The 22,376-nt window shown below is 41.0% G+C and overlaps 1 protein-coding gene and 1 long non-coding RNA gene across 3 annotated transcripts in view; one reads left to right on the top strand and one right to left on the bottom strand.

The window, feature by feature from the left end:
• Positions 1-13,578, top strand: part of DSG2 (desmoglein 2) — a 50,832-nt gene extending 37,254 nt beyond the window's left edge. For both annotated transcript variants that reach the window (XM_047437315.1, NM_001943.5), the window contains 5 exons: positions 772-999; positions 3,321-3,548; positions 5,763-5,884; positions 7,090-7,422; positions 10,291-13,578. In XM_047437315.1, coding sequence (XP_047293271.1) covers positions 772-999; positions 3,321-3,548; positions 5,763-5,884; positions 7,090-7,422; positions 10,291-11,313 — 1,934 coding nt within the window. In that variant the 3' untranslated portion in view covers positions 11,314-13,578. The remainder of the gene's footprint in view (positions 1-771; positions 1,000-3,320; positions 3,549-5,762; positions 5,885-7,089; positions 7,423-10,290) is intronic.
• DSG2-AS1 (DSG2 antisense RNA 1) lies at positions 6,716-21,481 on the bottom strand. The gene is made up of 6 exons (NR_045216.1): positions 20,533-21,481; positions 19,212-19,285; positions 14,608-14,929; positions 10,306-10,476; positions 7,672-7,965; positions 6,716-6,891 (listed from the first exon to the last, which is right to left on the bottom strand). It is a non-coding gene; the product is annotated as a DSG2 antisense RNA 1 (long non-coding RNA).
• Between the last annotated feature and the right edge of the window lie 895 nt (positions 21,482-22,376).

Below are 22,376 nucleotides of genomic sequence, written 5' to 3' on the forward strand. Positions count from 1 at the left end.
CTTTTTCTTGATTATATGTATTTAGATTTTTATTTTCCAACATCAGAAACCATTGATTTGATTGTGTATAAAAACCTAATCTCGGCCGGGAGCAGTGGCTCATGCCTGTAATCCCAGCACTTTGGGAGGCCAAGGCAGGTGGATCACGAGGTCAAGAGATCGAGACCATTCTGGCCAACATGGTGAAACCCCGTCTCTACTAAAAATACAAAAATTAGCTGGGCATGGTGGCATGCATCTGTAGTCCCAGCTACTCAAGAGACTGAGGCAGGAGAATTGCTTGAACCCAGGAGGTAGAGGAGCGGAGATCGCGCCAGACAAAGGGAGACTCCAACTCAAAAAAAAAAAAACAAAAACAAAAACCTAATCTCACCCCAGCACAGTTGCTTGTGTCTGTAGTCCCAGCTACTCAGGCAACTGAGATGGTTGGAACACTTGAGCCCAGGAGTTTGAGACCAGCCTGGACAAAAAAGCAAGACACCATCTTCAAAAAAAAATTGAGGGGTAGATAAAATTTAAAAATAGATGTCTAAAAAAATTTTTTAGTAAGATGAAATAAGCACCTAATTTCTCCAGTAGATAAATCTCACATTTCTACTTGGTAAGTGGATTAAAAGATATTACTTGGTCCAAATTTGAAACATATCTAGGATAGAAAATGTCCTAAGTGGTTAGTACCTTCTCCACTCCAAATTGGCAAGGGAATTCAAACTATGTCTGTTGTCAGCAATAGGAACAGAATGTACATACTTTTTCTCTCTTATTTTTAAGATTATCCTAGAAAAACCATCACTGGCACAGTCCTTATCAATGTTGAAGACATCAACGACAACTGTCCCACACTGATAGAGCCTGTGCAGACAATCTGTCACGATGCAGAGTATGTGAATGTTACTGCAGAGGACCTGGATGGACACCCAAACAGTGGCCCTTTCAGTTTCTCCGTCATTGACAAACCACCTGGCATGGCAGAAAAATGGAAAATAGCACGCCAAGAAAGTAAGCAAAATCACTGGACTACATAGAAATCTAAATATTAAGCATGATATCTAAAATATTTGTAAGTTGTATTTCTTCTCATAAATTATATTTCCAATATAGTTTTTTAAAGGAGTTTATGAAATGAGGTCCTGAACCTACTGACATATAGTATCTTTTATATGCTTATGGAGAGAAGAAAAATAATCTAAAATGTCTTGAAGGTAGCTGGGTATTCCCTAAATAGCCCTTGAAGTAGTTTTGTCTGGTAAGGTGAGGAGTACCAAGCCTTTGTCAGCACCACAATCGTAGTAGTTTGCCTTCTAAAAATCTTGTAGTAACAGTAATTCCATTTAAAACAACATTTATTGAGCACTTGCTATGTGCTAGGCATTCTGCTAGCCCACCCTATGTATTACCATATTTAATCCTTCCTTCAACATTATTCCCTGATTAAAGCTGAGGATACCTTGGTTTAACTGGGGGTAAGTAAAGCTCAAACCTAGAACATGATAGAAACAACATAACAGGGGAGTTATCTGATTCCCCCCTTCCCCATGTCAGTGGACATGTCCATATGTCCACATCCAGGACATCTAGACACATGGACCATATGATGTGTTGATGTGAGTTTTCAGATGTCCTTCAGGGTGGTTCTGAATGCAGAAAAGTCTATCCAGAAAACTATTTTGTTTTAAACAACTAGGGTTCATTTCAGTAAAATTTCAAAGACAATAGTCAGTTTTTTTTTTAATTTACAGCTTTATTGTGTTAAGTCTAGCAAATGTTTGAAATCATTTTAAGAGGGTTTGAATAATGTTTAGTCCAATTAACAAATTAAACACCATCAATATTTCAAACTGTATTTACAGATTTAATATATTTAGTTTCCTTATATATTTCAGTGATCTGAATTAACAAAACCTCCCAGCCAGGTGCGGTGGCTCACGCCTGTAATCCCAGCACTTTGGGAGGCCAAGGCAGGCGGATCATGAGGTCAGGAGATCGAGACCATCCTGGCTAACACGGTGAAACCCCGTCTCTACTAAAAATACAAAAAATTAGCCGGGCGTGGTGGCAGGCACCTGTAGTCCCAGCTACTCGGGAGGCTGAGGCAGGAGAATGGCATGAACCCAGAAGGCAGAGCTTGCAGTGAGCCGAGATTGTGCCACTGCACTCCAGCCTGGGTGACAGAGCAAGACTCTGTCTCAAAAAAAAAACTCCCTATGATCCTTATACTCTAAAATTCTAATAAATTTAACTTACAAATACACTGAGTTGTATATTACAGAATATTATCAATAACAAGTTGAAGCCGGGCATGGTAGCTCATGCCTTAATCCTAGCACTTTGGGAGGGTGAGGCGGGTGGATCACTTGAGGTCAGGAGTTTGAGACCAGCCTGGCCAACATGGTGAAACTCCATCTCTACTATAAATACAAAAATTAGCTGGGCATGGTGGTGGGCACCTGTAATCCCAGCTACTCAGGAGGCTGAGGCAGGTGAACCTGGGAGGCAGAGGTTGCAGTGAGCCAAGATGGCAGCACAGCACTCCAGCCTGGGCAACAGAACGAGACTCCATTTCAAAAAATAAGAAGAAGAAGAAGAAGTGTAAGAGTGCTAATGTTCCTTGATCTTAGAAGGTGCATGCTGAAGAATGTCGTGCTATCTGTAACTTACCTTGAAATAGTTAAGAAACTTTAAAAAAAAGAAAAAGTGGGTATATAGAGGGCAAAGAAAGCATTGTTGCAAAATGTAAACAGTTAGTAAGGGTTTGTTAATATTCACTAAAATATTCTTTCAACTTTTCTGTAGGTTTGAATTTTTTTTCCATTTTGAATGTATATAGTGTTGAGAACAAAAAAAGAAGGGACTAGAGAAAACAAGATCAGCCCATCATTGAAAATGATTAACGCTGAGGATGGGTACCATGGGGGTTATGCTCTTCTCTTTATTACTATGTTTGAAAAATTGCCTTAATGAAGTTTTTTTTTAAAGAAATGGTAAAATAAAGGTCATTCAGTAGAAATGTTAACTCACCACTTGTTTGTCACTGTATTCCCAGTGTATAGAACAGTTCCTAGCTTTCCTAGACCCACACACATTGGTTACAGCTAATCATCATGAAAGTAGGTGTCCAGGTCTGAACCTTTGCTATTTAAACTGCATATTCAGGGCCTATAGACAAATTTTAATGAGCACACTTCAATAAGTGAAGGAAGAACAAAGTACCTAATTGGAGTTAAATACAATCAGCAATGAAAGAACATTTGTGGAATTTAATGTTGCCTCATCCTTGGTAATCGTTCGTTTTTATTTCCTTCTGCCTCCCAACCTTGTAGGTACCAGTGTGCTGCTGCAACAAAGTGAGAAAAAGCTTGGGAGAAGTGAAATTCAGTTCCTGATTTCAGACAATCAGGGTTTTAGTTGTCCTGAAAAGCAGGTCCTTACACTCACAGTTTGTGAGTGTCTGCATGGCAGCGGCTGCAGGGAAGCACAGCATGACTCCTATGTGGGCCTGGGACCCGCAGCAATTGCGCTCATGATTTTGGCCTTTCTGCTCCTGCTATGTAAGTCTTTAAAAGCCACTCTGTTGTGCTTTTGGGAATCTGAGTGCACTCCTGGAGATGTGTTACTATGGTAGTCATTGATTTCTTCACAGTTATTCTTTAACCACACTAGAGCACTTTGAGGGTGAATAGGGAAACAACTGATGATTGGCAAATCACCAAAGCATAATATAAGACTCTTCAGAATTTTGTTTTATAAATGTATATCCTTTTCTGGTTTCAGTAACTTAGGAACTATTGGCATAAACTTCACTGGTATTCCCATTTTGATGAGCTCTGTGAGGGCAGCATGCTGTCTGTTCTCTTCACTGCTGTATTCCCAGTGTGTGGAACAGAGCCTTGCATGTAGTAAGCGCTCAAAAAAGATGTGTTGCATGACTTTGGGTTATGGGCACAAGGTTTTTTACAAACCCAGTTTATTCCAATCAATCCTGCTTTGTACATTCAACTTATCAGAGCTCCGCCTCCCTGATATTCCCCGCTTGCCTTGTTTCTTCGTCAGCACCAAAAGTAGGCAGACCCTCTGAGCACTTCCTGTCCTTCCTGACCGTAAGATGTTCTCAACCAGTCCTGCCTGCCCTACCCACGCTCCAAAGACCTCGGGTTTCCTTTTATAAAAGAACAAGGGACTGCATCCTGAGGTCACATGAAATATCACTCTACTTGACCACTGAATATGGACAGAGGGCCGCCTCCAAGGCAGCCTAGGCTAGTGCAGTGACAGAGGAGAGGTCTGTTAGACAAGGGGTCCCCAACCCCCAGGCTACAGACCAGCACCTGTCCATGGCCTGTTAGGAACCAGGCCGCACAGCAGGAGGTGAGTGGTGGAAGAGTGAGTGAAGCTTCATCTGTATTTACAGCCACTCCCCATCACTCGTGTTACCACCTGAGCTCTACCTCCTGTTAGACCAGTGCTGGCATTCGATTCTTATAGGAGCTCAAACTCTATCGTGAACTACTCATGCCAAGAGATCCAGGTTGCGTGCTCCTTATGAGAATCTAATGCCTGATGACCTGTCACTGTCTCCCATCACCCCCAGATGGGACCATCTAGTTGCAGAAAAATAAGTTCAGGGCTCCCACTGATTCTACATTATGGTGAGTTGTATAATTATTTCATTATATATTACAATGTAATAATAATAGAAATAAAGTACACAATAAATGTAATGCACTTGAGTCATCCCAAAACCAACCCCCCTACCCCTAACTTCCCTGTGGAAAAACTGTCTTCCATGAAACCAGTCCCTGGTGTCAAAAAGGTTGGGGACTGCTGTATTAGAGCCATTGGTAGATGTGCAATTGAAAGCACAGCACTCAACAGTCTGCAGTGTACTTTTATACCATCATCTCCATGCTATGGCTACATATACAGATACATAACGGTAAATGACTTGTCTCAGCTTACCAAGTTTGTAGGTAGGTACTGGAGCTGGGACTGTATCTTTTGCTCAGGGATTCCTTGCACTGCTTTCTCATCTCAGATTCCCTGGAGCCTAATGTGGTACTTGGCACATAATAGACACTTGATGAATGTTTGTTAAAATTGTTGAATTGCCACTGGCTGATTTCAGTCTTCTTATTAATCGTAGTAGCTGTAGTTAATGTGCTGTTGACTGTTTGACATAAAAACGAATCTAGGCAGTAGCCAGTTCATCATTGGAAGCTGCCAAATGGGAGTGGCAGATGGGCATGCAGGTGTGTTTAATTCTTTACTACATTGATCAAGGGGTCAGCCTTGGTCTTTGCTTCCTCCTAGGGGTAAAATAAAATCTAAGAAGAGGGCTCTGAAATTGTTATATGTTTCACTTTATTATTTCTAATTACTGTTTTCAATAGTACATATATTTTTGCAACAGTGATTTTTTTTTAATTGGACCATAGTTTTAAAAAAATTAATCTTTAAGCTGGTTTTGATGATTTGGATACTATCTGAACCTAGTCTTGGTATTCCACTCAGCAGCCACAGACAGCCTCTTTTTGATGAACAAGGCCTTGAATCTGTAAGACTCCCTCATCCTGCCTTCGGGTTTTGGAGTAATTCACCCAAAACAAGCTTGGTAAGGTTGGATCAGGGTGAAGAAAAGAAAAATAGAGCTGTAAATAAGTGAAGACAAGTCCAGGAAGGGACATGCAAATTCCAAAATTGTGCAATATAAATTTAGAAATATATCAAGGTTAACCTTATCTGTGTTCAATTTTGTGTCTGTACAGTGGTACCACTTTTACTGCTGATGTGCCATTGCGGAAAGGGCGCCAAAGGCTTTACCCCCATACCTGGCACCATAGAGATGCTGCATCCTTGGAATAATGAAGGAGCACCACCTGAAGACAAGGTCAGTGGATCAGATGTCAATATGACTTGTCTTCTTCTTGGGTTTTAAAGGGGCCTAGGGAAGTGTTTCTTACATGTTTGGTTGAGTGAGTAAAGTGATCACTATGGATTTCACTCATGTGCCTTTGTTAAGCAAAGAGTTCAAATGACAGCATATTTTGTGTTTGTTGCTGGGGCAGAATTGAGATAGTTTTACTCTGTTTTGACACTTCCCATGTTGTAGAGAATGTAGAGCAAGGTTCAGGAAGAGCAAGAGTGTGTAGGAATCTAAGTCTTTTGTCCTAACATTAAATGGGCAGTTTTCATAACCAGGAACTGCTTCATTTCCATTTCCCTCAATACATAGGGTTTGCAGAGGTAAGCCCACAACCCCCATGACACTTGTAAAATGTTGCAAAACCCCATTTCCCAACTACATCATAGCCATATCCCTTTGTCTCTCTGTTGCACCTTCACCCTGGACCTCTCACCACCATCTGTTATGAGCACCATTTCTAATAGGATAGGATTTAGCATCAGGTGGCAGAGAACTCAGAATAACAGTGGCTTAATCCTAAAATGGGCATTCCAAGATCAACATGATGATTCATCCGCAGCATGGTCCCCAGTTCCCTCTTCCTTGTTTTTCTTCCATGGTTGAGTTCCATTCCCACACTGTCCTCATGTCCTAGTTCTAGCTACCTAGCTGCCGTCCCCACATTCTAACCAGCACATGGGAGAAAAGTGAAGAACCCTCTTTAAGCACACTTCCCGGAACTTGTGTACACCATTTCTGCTTCATTCACATTGACCACAGTTTAGTCAGGTGGCTATACCTAGTGGCATCAGAGGCTTAGAAATATAGTCTTTATTTTGGGTGGCCATGGATCCAGGTCAAAACAAAGTTAAGAATTCTGTAACTATAGAAGAAGGTATCAAACTGTAGAGGGAGGTTGAAATGCCATTGGTCGCATAGAGTAAAGGAGCTGAGACTGTTTGGGCTTTGTTTTCTCTTTGGGTTCTATCCACCTATAAAACAAGAAGAGAGAAGAAAGGAGATCTTCATAAGACTTACATAAGTTATTCAACTCAAAATACTTTTTCTAACTGGCCTCAGTGGAAATAGCTTATACCTTCCTATGCCCACTTGACTCAGATCCTTCTACCAAGGATGAAGGATTCCCTCCATCCTCCTGACTCAGTTCTCAGCTGTGTTTGCTCTCACAGGTGGTGCCATCATTTCTGCCAGTGGATCAAGGGGGCAGTCTAGTAGGAAGAAATGGAGTAGGAGGTATGGCCAAGGAAGCCACGATGAAAGGAAGTAGCTCTGCTTCCATTGTCAAAGGGCAACATGAGATGTCCGAGATGGATGGAAGGTGGGAAGAACACAGAAGCCTGCTTTCTGGTAGAGCTACCCAGTTTACAGGGGCCACAGGCGCTATCATGACCACTGAAACCACGAAGACCGCAAGGGCCACAGGGGCTTCCAGAGACATGGCCGGAGCTCAGGCAGCTGCTGTTGCACTGAACGAAGAATTCTTAAGAAATTATTTCACTGATGTAAGGATGAGTTTTATGTATTGGTGGTGGGGGGTGGGGGGAACATTTGTATGTGAATGTGATATTATTAGGGTAATCATTGCCTTGGATCCAAATGAGACTTTGGGTTTTTTTTTTTTTTCTTTTTTCAGGGAATACTTATAGGCAATAAGGAAAGAGAAATGGGACCCACAGAATCAGTCGGTGTTAGCTAAATTATGCTGCAGTAACCATGATCTTAGTTCTCACACAGGCATATTTCTCACTTACAGTTATGTTTTTGCCAGTCAGTCAGCTCTGCTTTCCTTCATGATGTCTTCATATCAAGATGCACACTGAGAGAGCAGATTGTACCTGGGAAGCTGCCGTCCTTGTGACCCAAAGAAAAGAACAAGGCAGAACCAGGCAATGGCTCTCAAAGCCTCCACCTTTTTACACCACATTTCATTGACCAAAGCAAGTCATATGACCAAGACAGATGTCAGTGGGTCGGAAAGTTGCATCCCTCTGCAGGAGCAGGCTTGGTAGGGATGAGCTCCGTAGGAGAGGCAGAGGATATATAACCTAAAAAACACAATCTATTAAGTCCATTTAAATTTTACCTTCTGTATGAGAGTACTTGGCTTTGCTATTATGAGGGTCCACCAAAAAATGATGAGAAAAGTTCCAGGAAGATGATCAGATGCAATAAGGAAGCTCATGCTAGAATTGAGGAATTAGAAGCAGAACTGAAAATAAAAGTATAATGTAGAGGTCAGGCACAATGGCTCATGCCTGTGATCCCAGCACTCTGGGAGGTCAAGGCAGGCAGATCACTTGAGCCCAGAAGTTCAAGACCAGCTTGGGCAATATGTTAAAACCCTATCTCTCCAAAAATACAAAAAATTAGCTGGGCATGCTGGCACACACCTGTAGTCCCAGCTACTCAGAAGGCTGAGGTAGGGGGATCACTTGAGCCTGGAAAGCCAAGGATGCAGTGAGCTGTGATCATACCACTGCACTCCAGCCTGGGCAACAGAGTGAAACTCTGTCTAAAAAAAAAAAAAAAAAAAAGTATAACATAGAGATAAAGTATACTTCAGAACAAGGAATATTACCAGGAATAATGAGGGATAGTTCATAATGAAAAATGAGTCAGTTCATCAGGAGGCCTGAAACTCCTAAATATGTCAGAACCTAATAACAGAAATTTTTAAAACTTAAAGCAAAAACAACTGAAAGAGAAACAGACAAATTCATAATGATAGTTGGAGAGTTCAACCTGATCTATCAGTAAATGAAAGAACAAGTGACAGAATCAGTAAGCATATAGAAAACTTAGTACTGTGAACCAAATGGATCTAGTTGATACTGACAGAACACTCTATGCAACAGAAGCAGAATACACATGCTTTTTCATATAGACTGTATTCTAGAACATTAAATAAATGTAAATAACTTTTAAAGAACTGCAGTCATACAATGTACTTTGATGAAAAAAAAATTAAAACCAGAGATCAGTAACAAAGAGATATATAAAATATACTCAAATATTTATAAATACACATGACTGCAAATTAAATTATACTTCATGAAAATTTGTGGGGTACTACTAAAGTGATGCTTGAAGGGAAATTGTAGCAAAAATGGCTATATTAGAAGATGGTTCTCAAATCAGTGACCTAAGCTTCCACCCTCAGAAGTTAGAAGAGCAAATTAAACCCAAAACAAGCAGAAATAAGATAATGATGAATTTTAGAGCAGAAATCAATGAAATATTTAGCAAAAAGTAATAAGAAAAAAAATTGAAGCCACAAGCTTATTATTTAAAGAGGTCAATAAAATTGATAAACATTTTACCAGACTAATTAGGATATTAAGAGATTAAGCACAAACTATGGATGTTAGAAATAAAATAAAGAACTTTACTACAGATCTTACAGACATAGTAAGAATAATTTTTTAAAAAGTAGGACTGGGTGGTTTTCTTGAGAACAAGGCCCTGTGCTCCCATGAGAATGGACAGAGTTGGAATATAAGGCATCTGAAGGGCCCTAGAGAGGAGTAAGGGGAGGGGCTTCCATTGAGGAAAGCAAGTTACTTCTGTCCCCCTCTTCTAAATTTGCAAATTATTAGCGTGCTTTCCCACTTTCTGCTCCTTTTTAACCTCCCATCTTTCATACCATCCTTCACCCACCTTCAAGTATTAGCTTAACAGGGATGTGGGTGGTGTCAAGCAAAACCATTTCTTGGCCTTTCCTGTCTCACTGCTAAGCTCAATTCTAGCGTCCTGTTTGTTTTCTTTTGGTAAGTTTTCCCTCTCTCCACTCTAATCCTGCTCCAGTCATTCTTGGTTATGTATGTGTGTACTAACTTTTGATTTGGAAGTAATTTCAAAGTTATCAGAAAATTTGCAAGAATAATAGAAATTTTGAACCCAATAAACATTTTGCCACATTTGCTATTTGCTTTTCCATTTTCTCTGTCTCTCTCTCACTGACACACATTCACACACATTCTCTTACATTACTATAGTACAGTTAACAAATGTAGAACTTTAATATTGACATAGTCCATATTTCAGTTTAGCCAACTATCACACTATCTTTTACAGCAATTTTGTTTTTCTCAGGATCCTGCATTCCATTTAGTTGTCCTGACACTTTAGTCTCCTTTAATCTGAAACAGTCCCCTCTGCCTTTCTATTTTTTCCCTGATATTAATTTTTTTTAAGAATACAGTCCAGTTGTGTCGTAGGATCTCTCTCAATTTGTGTTTCCCTGATGGTTCCTTGTAATTAAATTCACATTACTGCATTTTGAACAGGAATATAGAGTCTTGTTTTAAAATGAATTTATATTGCTAATTATTTGTCTGTTTTGTGTTTGTTTTGTTTTGTTTTCATTTTAGAAAGCGGCCTCTTACACTGAGGAAGATGAAAATCACACAGCCAAAGATTGCCTTCTGGTTTATTCTCAGGAAGAAACTGAATCGCTGAATGCTTCTATTGGTTGTTGCAGTTTTATTGAAGGAGAGCTAGATGACCGCTTCTTAGATGATTTGGGACTTAAATTCAAGACACTAGCTGAAGTTTGCCTGGGTCAAAAAATAGATATAAATAAGGAAATTGAGCAGAGACAAAAACCTGCCACAGAAACAAGTATGAACACAGCTTCACATTCACTCTGTGAGCAAACTATGGTTAATTCAGAGAATACCTACTCCTCTGGCAGTAGCTTCCCAGTTCCAAAATCTTTGCAAGAAGCCAATGCAGAGAAAGTAACTCAGGAAATAGTCACTGAAAGATCTGTGTCTTCTAGGCAGGCGCAAAAGGTAGCTACACCTCTTCCTGACCCAATGGCTTCTAGAAATGTGATAGCAACAGAAACTTCCTATGTCACAGGGTCCACTATGCCACCAACCACTGTGATCCTGGGTCCTAGCCAGCCACAGAGCCTTATTGTGACAGAGAGGGTGTATGCTCCAGCTTCTACCTTGGTAGATCAGCCTTATGCTAATGAAGGTACAGTTGTGGTCACTGAAAGAGTAATACAGCCTCATGGGGGTGGATCGAATCCTCTGGAAGGCACTCAGCATCTTCAAGATGTACCTTACGTCATGGTGAGGGAAAGAGAGAGCTTCCTTGCCCCCAGCTCAGGTGTGCAGCCTACTCTGGCCATGCCTAATATAGCAGTAGGACAGAATGTGACAGTGACAGAAAGAGTTCTAGCACCTGCTTCCACTCTGCAATCCAGTTACCAGATTCCCACTGAAAATTCTATGACGGCTAGGAACACCACGGTGTCTGGAGCTGGAGTCCCTGGCCCTCTGCCAGATTTTGGTTTAGAGGAATCTGGTCATTCTAATTCTACCATAACCACATCTTCCACCAGAGTTACCAAGCATAGCACTGTACAGCATTCTTACTCCTAAACAGCAGTCAGCCACAAACTGACCCAGAGTTTAATTAGCAGTGACTAATTTCATGTTTCCAATGTACCTGATTTTTCATGAGCCTTACAGACACACAGAGACACATACACATTGATCTTAAAATTTTTCTCAGTCACTGATATGCAAAGGACCACACTGTCTCTGCTTCCAGGAGTATTTTAGAAATGTTCCACAATTTACTGAAGACATAGAGATGATGCTGCTGCTTAGGTGCCTTTTAGCAAGCTATGCAAACAATCCTGATAAAACAAGATACATAGAGAGTCAATCTGGCTTCTGAGAATTTACCAAGTGAACAGAGTACCTAGTTCATCAGCCGTCCAGTAAAGCAACCCAGGAAACTGACTGGGTCTCTTTGCCTACCGTATTAACATTAAACATTGATGTTCTGTATTCTGTACTTTACTGCACCCAGCAGACTTTCAACAACTCATTGATCCAAAGATACATGCACAGTCTGAGCACCAGCTATGGTGCTCATAACTTCTTTAAGACTTGAACCCTTTCAATCTGTGTGATTCATTAAATTGGACCATTGATGATAAGAATACACATTGTATGTTTCTGTGCACATGACAGTGTGTGTGTGTGCACGTACATACTGTATAGTCTTAAAAATAGCATTATACTGGCCAGGGGTGGTGGCTAACGCCTGTAATCCCAGCACTTTGGGAGGCCGAGGCGGGTGGATCAACTGTGGTCAGGAGTTTGAGATCAGCCAGGCCAACCTGGTGAAACCCCGTCTCTACTAAAAATACAAAAATTAGCTGGGCGTGATGGTGGGCGCCTGTAATCCCAGCTACTTGGGAGGCTGAGGCAGGAGAATCACTTGAACCCGGGAGGCGGAGGTTGCAGTGAGCCGAGATCGCACCATTGCACTCCAGTCTGGGCAACAGAGTGAGATTCCGTCTCAAAAAAAAAAAGAAAAGGAAAAAAAAATAGCATTATACCTCTTCCTTGTCTCAACCGCCATGAAAATTCTGAACACTCCAAATTCAGTTGAATAATCCAAAACAAAATTTATAAGTATAAAATAATTTTACTTCTTATAGTAATAGTATACTTTAAAAAGCCTCAGGGTATATTATCTTCTAAACAGCTACAATTCAGTGCAGCTACATTAACCAACTATGTTCTCTAGTTGAGAACAACTAGGCCTATTTCACTGCTGTGTAGCCTCAGTGCCTAACATGGGTGCCAAATAAATATTCGTAGAATTACACTGAATTGTAAAAACCATTCGTTTTTGTTTACAATTGCCAAAAATCTCAAAAGGCCCTGTATTTATGTAATTCTTTGAAATTATTATTTTATTTTGATTTCTCAGTTATTGACTGGCTGGGTGTGACTTAGTACATAAGTACTCAATATTATAAAAACCTCAAATAATTGACTTGATTTTACACAACATCCTTCCCTTTTCTACAAGTTAATTTTTTTACAAATCATTTGGGTTATCTCCTAAATAGGTTATATTTTATTGCTTCTAGAAACAATGTTTCAAAATATATGTGCATTATCAGTAATAATTTGTATAAATATTTCCCACAACAATTTTCATAATTTTCAAAGACTAATTTCTTGACTGAAGATATTTTGCTAGGGAAGTGAAACTTTAAAATTTTGTAGATTTTAAAAAATATTGTTGAATGGTGTCATGCAAAGGATTTATATAGTGTGCTCCCACTAACTGTACAGATCAGGACACATATTTTTAGACATCTAAGTCTGTAGCTTAAATGGAGGTTACTCTTCCATCATCTAGAATTGTTTACTTAGTAATTGTTGTTTCTTTTATTATTATAGACTTACTATCAGTTTTATTTTGCCAAGTATGCAACAGGTATATCACTAGTATATGAAAATGTAAATATCACTTGTGTACTCAAACAAAAGTTGGTCTTAAGCTTCCACCTTGAGCAGCCTTGGAAACCTAACCTGCCTCTTTTAGCATAATCACATTTTCTAAATGATTTTCTTTGTTCCTGAAAAAGTGATTTGTATTAGTTTTACATTTGTTTTTTGGAAGATTATATTTGTATATGTATCATCATAAAATATTTAAATAAAAAGTATCTTTAGAGTGACCCTTTCCCCATAGATTTTTATTTCTCTATTATATTTTACAAGGAATATAACTCAGTTTGTTAGGGAGAGTGCCTTAAAGGCAGGTGTTTCTTGGACTTTGTTATTTAATTAGATCTGCTTGCAATAAAAAAAGTTGTCGGTTATCTAAAATTCAAATTTATCGGGGTACTTGGCATTTTCATTGTCCAACTCTGGCAACCTTGTTCCTAAGGAAGTGAAGGTTGCTCTCTGCCCAGAGTAACACTGGAGAAATCTGTTGGGTCTGGCAGAAGAAGGCTAGTATATCTAACCCAAAGAGATGAAATCATTCTACCAATGTTTGAGAGGCTGTTTTAATTGCTTGTTATAGTTTAGAAGGGAAAAGATCAGAGTTGCTGCTATAAGAGAAGAAAAACAAATTTTCTTCTAGGTCCCCAGCTGGGGCTCTGTAACAAAACACAGATTAACAAGAGAAAAACAAACATTAGTCTGTTAACATGTGTATCTCATGCATGCTTTGGAGTAACTGGAATGAGCAGCTCAAAGGGGTGGTTAGAACTTGGGTGTAAAATGTTAAAAGAAGAGCTTTAAACAAATTAAATCTAACAGTTTACTTAAGCAAAGAAAGGTTCACAAAATTGGGCTGCCCTGGAACTAGAAAAGGTTCGGAGAACTCTATTCTACAATAATGAGCAGGCCGTATTCATAGACAGAAAATGGAAGTGAGGTAGGGAAGCTGCTTGATTGGTTACAGCTGAGCCTTTGCCTTATTTGGAGGTGGGCTGATCAGTTGGCAGCCAGTGACTGGCTGAAACTCAGCTGCTGTGATTGATTGACGCTCAGCTATGTATTACAAAAATATACTCCTAAATTAGGCTTTCAGTTCATTTATGTACCAAGCTAGGCTGCAGTTCGTCATGTGGGGACTCAAGGTATGGAGGCAGCCTCAGGCCCAGTTTAATTTAATAATATACCAACTTGGGCTAAAACATAGGAAAGGGGATTAGGGGCTTCTGGGCAGGGGAAACAAGTTATGGGAAGGTGACCAGGAAAAGTCTGGTAAGCTTGAGTAAGATTTGTCATGCAGATTTAAATTAATCTCTTTGTCACTTATAGTCATCCCGTGTTTCCGGTACGGAGGGAGACAGCCTTACAAATGGACATTTCCCTTATAAATGTAAATCCCTTTACAAAAGGTAAACTTACGTTCTGTCTTCAGAGTTTCTCCTGCGTCTGCTATTTCTCAAAATAATCAGCTCAAAATAATCCTTATACTAAAAACGTATTTTGGGGGCTGTAGCATATTCTAGTCGACACTGCCGGTAAACTGGAATGTCTCATGAATGAAGATTTCACGACAATGGCACATCAGAACATCCTAAAGCATGAAGACTGGTTTATTCCTGCGTGACTTCAGTTCCCACTCCCAGTGGCACATGGAGCTAATTCTGGTTGATCTCTGCAGACCATATTCCAATCACCACCACATCAAAATGTCTACAGTAGGACGTTGCTAACCAAATATCACCTAAAAATGAGACATTTCAGATCATTAAATCTGACTTTCTTAAAGGACCAAAATTTATTAGTTTCATTATGTTTTATTTTAATCCTCTATATCATTCCCAATTACTTTGTCTACTGTTTCCATTAATTACTAAGAGGTTGAAGTCTCCCAAGTGTGGCTTTGCTTATTTCCCCCTTTAATTCTTTCTATTTTTGTTTCCTGTGTTTTGAAACTTTTTGCCTGTGTTATTAGGTACAAGTACATTTAGGATTACTGTGTTCCTGAAGAACTGATCTTTTTATCATTATGAAATGCCTCTCTTCATCTCTGTTTATAACTGCTAATTACCTTTAGCCTAAAGCTGCCTCCTTACATTCTTTTCCTTTTTTTTTTTTTTTTTTTTTGAGACGGAGTTTCAAGTGAGTGAAATGGCGCAAACTCGGCTCACCACAACCTCCGCCTCCCAGGTTCAAATGATTCTCCTGCCTCACCCTCCCAAGTAGCTGGGGTTACAGGCATGCGCCACCACGCCCAGCTAATTTTGTATTTTTAATAGAGACGGGGTTTCTCCATATTGGTCAGGCAGGTCTCAAACTCCCGACCTCGGGTGATCCGCCTGCCTTGGCCTCCCAAAGTGCTGGGATTACAGGCGTGAATTACCACACCTGGCCCTTGTTACATATTTTAAGTTTGGCCTGAAGGTTTCTCCATACTTAGTGAACTATAACCTAACTGGATGTGTAAACAGACTGTAACCTACTCTTGTCTGAGGCAATCACGGCCGCAATACTTCAACCACTCACAGGCAGCCAACTGTTCAAACTGCATTCAAATAAGGCAAACCCTGAGCTGTAACCAGTCCTGCTATTCTGTACCTCACTTCCTTTTTCTATCCATAAATCCTCTCTGACCACGTGGCAGCACCAGCGTGGCTCTGAATCTACTCCGGTTTAGGTACTGCCCAATTTGCAAATTATTCTTTGCTCAATTAAAGTTTGTAAAATTTGTTTATATATTTATTTATTTTATTATTTTGGAGATGGAGTCTCACTCTGTCACCCAGGCTGGAGCGCAGTGGCAGAATCTCCGCTCACTGCAACCTCCGCCTCCCAGGGTCAAGTGATTCTCCTCAGCCTCCTGAGTAGCTGGGCTGGGATTACAGGTGTACGCCACCACACCAGGCTAATTTTTGCATTTTTTTTTTTTTTTTTTTTTTTAGTAGAGATGGGGTTTCCCCATGTTGCCCAGGCTGGTCTCGAACTCCTGGCCTCAAGTGATCCACCAGCCTCAGCCTCCTAAACTGCTGGGATTACAGGCGTGAGCCACCACACCCAGCCAACTTTGTAAAATTTAATTTGCCTGAAGTTTTTCTTCTAACACATTCTTTGTCTTGAAATCTACCTTGCCTAACATTAATACAGCCATACCAGCCTTCTTATGGTTAGTGCTTCCGTGGTATATCTTTTTGATCCTTTTGCTTGACACCTGTCTGTGCCTTTATAGTACATTTATTGTAAACAATATACAGGTAGGTCTTGGCTTTTCCCATTTTGACAATTTCTGACTTTTATCAGAAGGTTTTACAACAATTATTTATATGGATAAGTTTAAGCTTCCATCTTTGTATTTGTTTTATCTTTGTCCACCTGGGTTTTCTGTTGGTTTTTTGGTTTTCTCCACTCTTGTTTCCTGACTTCTTTTGTGTACTGCATGCTTTAGGATTCCACTGTAGCACCTCTGTTGACCTTTCACCTACACCCGCTTGTGTTTACTTTTTAATTGGTTGCTCTTACTGAGGAAATATAACTAACAACAAAATTTCCTCTCAACCTAAAAAACCTTTCCACAAAGTAAAGGAGAAAGAAAACAGTGTCATCATTGAATAAGCATTAAACCCTGAAGGTGAGGCACATCACAGGTAGCTCCTAAAGAAACTGCGGGCCGGGCACAGGGGCTCACGCCTGTAATCCCAGCACTTTGGGAAGCCGAGGCGGGCAGATCACAAGGTCAGGAGATCAAGACCATCCTGGCTAACATGGTGAAACCCCGTCTCTACTAAAAATACAAAAAATTAGCCGGGCATGGTGGCGGGCACCTGTAGTCCCAGCTACTCGGGAGAATTGCTTGAACCTGGGAGGCAGAGCTTGCAGTGAGCCGAGAGCACACCACTGCACTCCAGCCTGGACAACAGTGCGAGACTCTGTCTAAAAAAAAAAAAGAGAGAGAGAGAAAAGAAACCACAGGCTGGGCACAGTGGCTCATGCTTTTAATCCCAACAGTTTGGGAGGCCAAGGCGGGCGGATCACCTGAGGTCAGGAGTTCGAGACCAGTCTGACCAGAGAAACCCCATCTCTACTAAAAATAAAAAACTTAGCTGGGCAGATGGCAGGTGCCTGTAATCCCAACTACTCAGGAGGCCGAGGCAGGAGAATCGCTTGAACCGGGAGGTGGAGTTTGCGGTGAACTGAGATCGCGCCATTGCACTCCAGCCTGGCAATAAGAGTGAAACTCCATCTCACAAAAGAAGAAAAAAAAGAAATTGCAAAGACAAAAAGTTCTTGCTTTTTATGCAGCCATTTAGAACATACCTGTTCACAAGATAAACTATAGCTTGTCCTCAAGTCAGAGGATTTGACAGCACCGTTTGTCATACATAGCTCATCTTAAACTCACCTAGTAATTGAGGGGGCTATTGTGTTTGCTAATTGCCTTTATTCAAAGAAATAATAAAACTTCTTAGATCTCTCTGATAGGTAGCTAGTTATAATTTGGAGCGAGCACCCATGGAGATGGGAAGATAGGGAGGCTAGCTTCCTTGATGTTAACATTTCAAAAAGATAGCCCCAGGTCCTTCAGAAGGACATCCCTGGTTATAAAGCTGGCAAAGGAGATAGAGAAAGAAGTAACAACTGCAAGTTTTTTAAACTAAATACTCTAAGAAAAGAGAGATGAGAGATGGCAAGGGAAAGTTTTCCTTGTTTGCACTAGGGAAAATTCAGTTTTTTTCCCATTTAGATTTGTACTTACATTCTAGGGCTATGCTCTACGTGGCAAGCGGCTACCAATTGGACAGCACAAATCTAGAACATTTCTATCATTGTGTAAAGATTTGGGGGGAACTTCAGAGTGAAACCACCTTTGCAAAAATTATAACAATGAGAAAATTACAACATGAAAGAGATCTGATCTAACCAACCCCTATCTTGCCTTTAACCTCCAAACTGCCTTTGGTCTTTCCTGGGCTTAGGCTAAGCTAACTTTGGGAGAAATTTAGGTTATAGTTTACATGAGAAGAACCTTTCCCTAAAACTAAAGCACCTTTATAAAACTAATGAAAGCCCACCAGGTTAGGAGGATGAAAGGGGCTTCTAGTCTGCTAAGGTGTAGGAGTAAACAATTACCATCCATTATTCGGGAAGTGACAAAATTTGCAACTTCCCCAATTACTCTGGCAGATAACATTATTATAATAGAAAATAAGACTGGCCTTTTGGGATGTCGTTTGCTACTTTTGCATTTTTGACGACTGGATACCCACGACTCTTGGCTCAACTGCTCCTGTGGCCCCCATCCTGTAGCAGACTTGGTGCACTAGGACCGTTTTCCACACCCCTATGATTGCATCCCCAACCAATCAGCAGCATCCATTCCCCTATCCCCCTGCTGGCCAAACTATCCTTGAAAAACCCTCACCTCCGAATTTTCAGGGAGATTGATTTGATAACAATCTCCCACGTGGTATGGCCAGCCCATTTCAATTAAACTCTTTCTTTATTGTAATGTCATGGTCTCAGTGAATTGGTTTTGTCTGTGCAGTGGCAGGAAGAACCCATTGGGTGATTACAATGGTTCTGGAAATTACAATATGCGTCTTTAATTTATCACAGTCAACCTTCAGATATTCTACTATTTCACAAATGATATATGTGAACCTTGAGCTTGCACTTTGTGGATCTTGCTATGCCATTCAATCTCTGACTTTCTTTCTACCCTCGTGCTAATCAAGAAGCTTTCAGCATTGTCTCTGTCCCTCACACCTTCCATCATACCCCTGCCCCACTTGCTATAATGCATTATTGGCATGATATGAAACATACAGTATCAAGTCCATCAGTGGATGGGAATGGACTCACATTGCTCCACAGATTACAAAAACCCACCTATCCAGATTGAAAAACCATGTGATGAGGAATGTGTGTCTCTGTTAAAAATCCAGATACACCCTGGGCCGGGTATTTTCCATTTGCCTCTTCATACTCACTCTCTGCTCTTCTTCACCCTGCTCTGAGACCCAGGAGCTTACCTTTTATGGATGTTTCAACGGGCACTGCTTGCTGCCTCTGGCTTTTAGATGGGCTTGGCCAGTGATGGCCTTGGCTAGAGATTGGTGAGAAAGAGAAAAATGAGATCAGGGCATCTCTCCCTCTACCTCCCTCTGTCATGCATCTCTCTATAGAGCAACTCCCTCTCTGAGTTCCTGGACCCACGCTCTCTCCTTGTTCCTTTAGGCCTATTAGTAGTGGTTGCTTCCTTCTCAATTATTACCAGACTTGAAACGGTCCCCCAGTGTTGACGAGGATTGCATGCTGAGTTCTGAACAGAAATATATTTGTAATTAAACATTAATCAGGCTGCACTTTGGCCCACTTCGTTGTTGCTAAAAGTCAGGTAGCACCAGGTACTGACCATTTGCATTTCCATTGTTCCTATAGATAGGATCTCTGAAGTTAGGGTCATAAAGCTGTTGAAGAATTGATTTGCATCCCGCATTGTTCCCCTGTGTACTGTCAGTGGGTATTGAGATAAATGAAGGCAGGAATGGGCCTTTTTGATGTTTGTCACCTCATACTTACTCCAGTATCAACCAACAAAAGAAATAGCTGGTGACTGAATGAACAGAGGGCCAGTCATAGGAAGAATGGTGAACTGTGGTGGGAGGAATTTACCTGTCTCAGAGGGTAAGGGTTTTTGGTACATTTAAGCAGGACAATTGCAAAAATCCAAACAAAATTTTCAGACTGGTTTTCTAAACCTGCACATGATTCATTTAACTGACAACATTTAATCTGCTGCATCCCAAGCCCAAGTTAGTTCTCATTGTTAAGTCTGAATTGATGGATTCTCAATGGGTTTGAGGGATTCTGAGGAAAACTACAGAGGTTTCAGTGCAGGACACGATCTATTTGCAATGGTTCAAAATCTCTTTCAGTTCCTATATTCTGGTTACTTGGATTGTTGGAGATTTTACTCACTGTATTAAAGATCTGTTTTATTCTTCTTTCTTTTTACCCGAGGCTATACATTAAGACGTACCCTATATGTTCCCCTGCCCCTCGTCTACAGCTTTCAGCTTCTTCTAGCAGGAAGTTTGGTTTTGCAACCCCTCTTGAGTTGGACCCTTCTAAAGTAATCTTGAGTTTCTCATTCCAGCCTCTCCAAGGACCACATCTATTGTTTCCCTAGTTTACATGGGTTCTTTTTCAAAGAAAAACACTGGATTGGGATACTTCAATGAAAGAAGTTGGAAAACGCACAAAATACAAGCATCTTAAATGCTTCTAGATATACCCCAACTAGATGTACCAGGTTGAATTGGCTTAGCAGTAAACTATATGTATGCTCACCTAGTAATAATCCATGTGTTTCTACACTTAAGAGATCCTCTGGACTACAGAAATAAGATGGAACAGAAGCACTGTGGCATAACTATGAGTGTTATATGCTTTATGGCCACAAGATGGCACTATGCACGCAGTAAAAGAGGCAAAGTCAATCTATCAAAGCTAGGAAGAAAAAAAAAAATCAAGCAATTTAATAAGTTCGTGAGCAACACAAACTTGCAAAGGCCAATTCCTTCCTTCACTAATTGTGACCCTCTCAGATAAAGTGTGATACGCTTCAGAGTTGCCTGAGAAACGAGACCTGGATTACGGAAGTCTAATAAAACCCATACCACTCTTTGATGGTGAAATACAAAATGTCTTTCTGAAGGTCAGTCATGAGCCTTTGGTTCTATCAAAAATGCTGCACTTTGGAGGAAATGACGCTGGCCAATGGATTTACGAATAACACACTCAGCCTGCTGTGGGCTATCTTAAAGAATAGATGTTGACTTTTTCTGAAATATTAGATTCAACTAAGCATATGTTGAATTCTCACTATGTGCAGAGCCCTATTTAGTGGCTTTAAAATTACTCAAAGATGAGTAAGGCCCAGACCTTGCCCTCCAGAGGCTCACAATATAGTGGAGGAAGTAGTTACAAACAGCTTATTCTGAAAACCAAGACACTGTAAAAAACAACATATCAAAGATAGAAAGAAAATGCCAAGGCTGATTGGAGAGATTAATTCTTCTTTTGATTAATTTCTCTTTGTCATTCCCAATTCCTCCAAGTTGAAGGGGAAAGGGAATGTCTAGGAGCTCTTCTTAGACAGGTGGGCTTTCGATGAAAATTGGAAGTTAATATAGTTAGGATACGGTCCCCTCCAAATCTTAGTTGAAATGTGACCTCCAATGATGGAAGTGGAGTCTGGTGGGAGGTATTGGATGATGGGAACCGATCCCGCAGGAACGGATTCGTGCCATCCCCTTGGTGATGAGCCAGTTCTCGCTCAGGTCGTTCACGCGAGATCTGGTTGTTTTTTAAAAGCGTAGCCCCTCTCTCCCCTCTCTCTTGATCCTGGTCTCACCATGTGATACACCCACTTCGCCTTCCGCCAATAATTGGAAGCTTCCTGAGGCCCTCACCAGAAGCAGATGCCAGCACCACACCTCTGGTTCACCTGCAGAACCGTGAGCCAGTTAAACCTCTTTTCTTTATAAACTACCAGCCTCAGGCCAGGTGTAGTGGCTCACACCTGTAATGCCAGCACTTTGGGAGGCTGAGGCAGTCAGATCACCTGAGGTCAGGAGTTCAAGACCAGCCTGACCAACATGGCGAAACCCGTCTCTACTAAAAATACAAAAATTAGCCGGGCGTGGTGGCGGGCGTCTGTAATCCCAGCTACTCAGGAGGCTGAGGCAGGAGAATCGCTTGAACCTGGGAGGCAGCGGTTGCAGTGAGCCAAGCGCGCCACTGCACTCCAGCCTGGGCGACAGAGTGAGACTCCGTCTCAATAAATAAATAAATAAATAACCAGCCTCAGGTATTTCTTTATAGTAATGCAAAAATGAACTAATCCAGAGAGTAAGTAAACAGGAGGAAGGACCACCTAGATCAGAAGCTTACCTCACACAGGTGAGGGTGGCTAGCGGGTAAGGGATTAGAGGCGGTGAGCACAGCAGAAGGTGTGGGTGAAGAGGCAGGTACAGGCCACCCTGTGGAGGACTTGGAACAGCAGCTAAGGCTGTGGGACCAGACTCTTTATGCAGTAAAGAGCCACAGACAATTGTGAGCAAGACACCTTATAACCAGGTTTTAGAAAGAATCCTCAGCTGGAAGGAGGAGATTCTGCAGGAAGAGGGTGG

This window comes from Homo sapiens, chromosome 18, assembly GCF_000001405.40.
Source record: "Homo sapiens chromosome 18, GRCh38.p14 Primary Assembly".
In the NCBI taxonomy this organism is placed as follows: domain Eukaryota; kingdom Metazoa; phylum Chordata; class Mammalia; order Primates; family Hominidae; genus Homo; species Homo sapiens.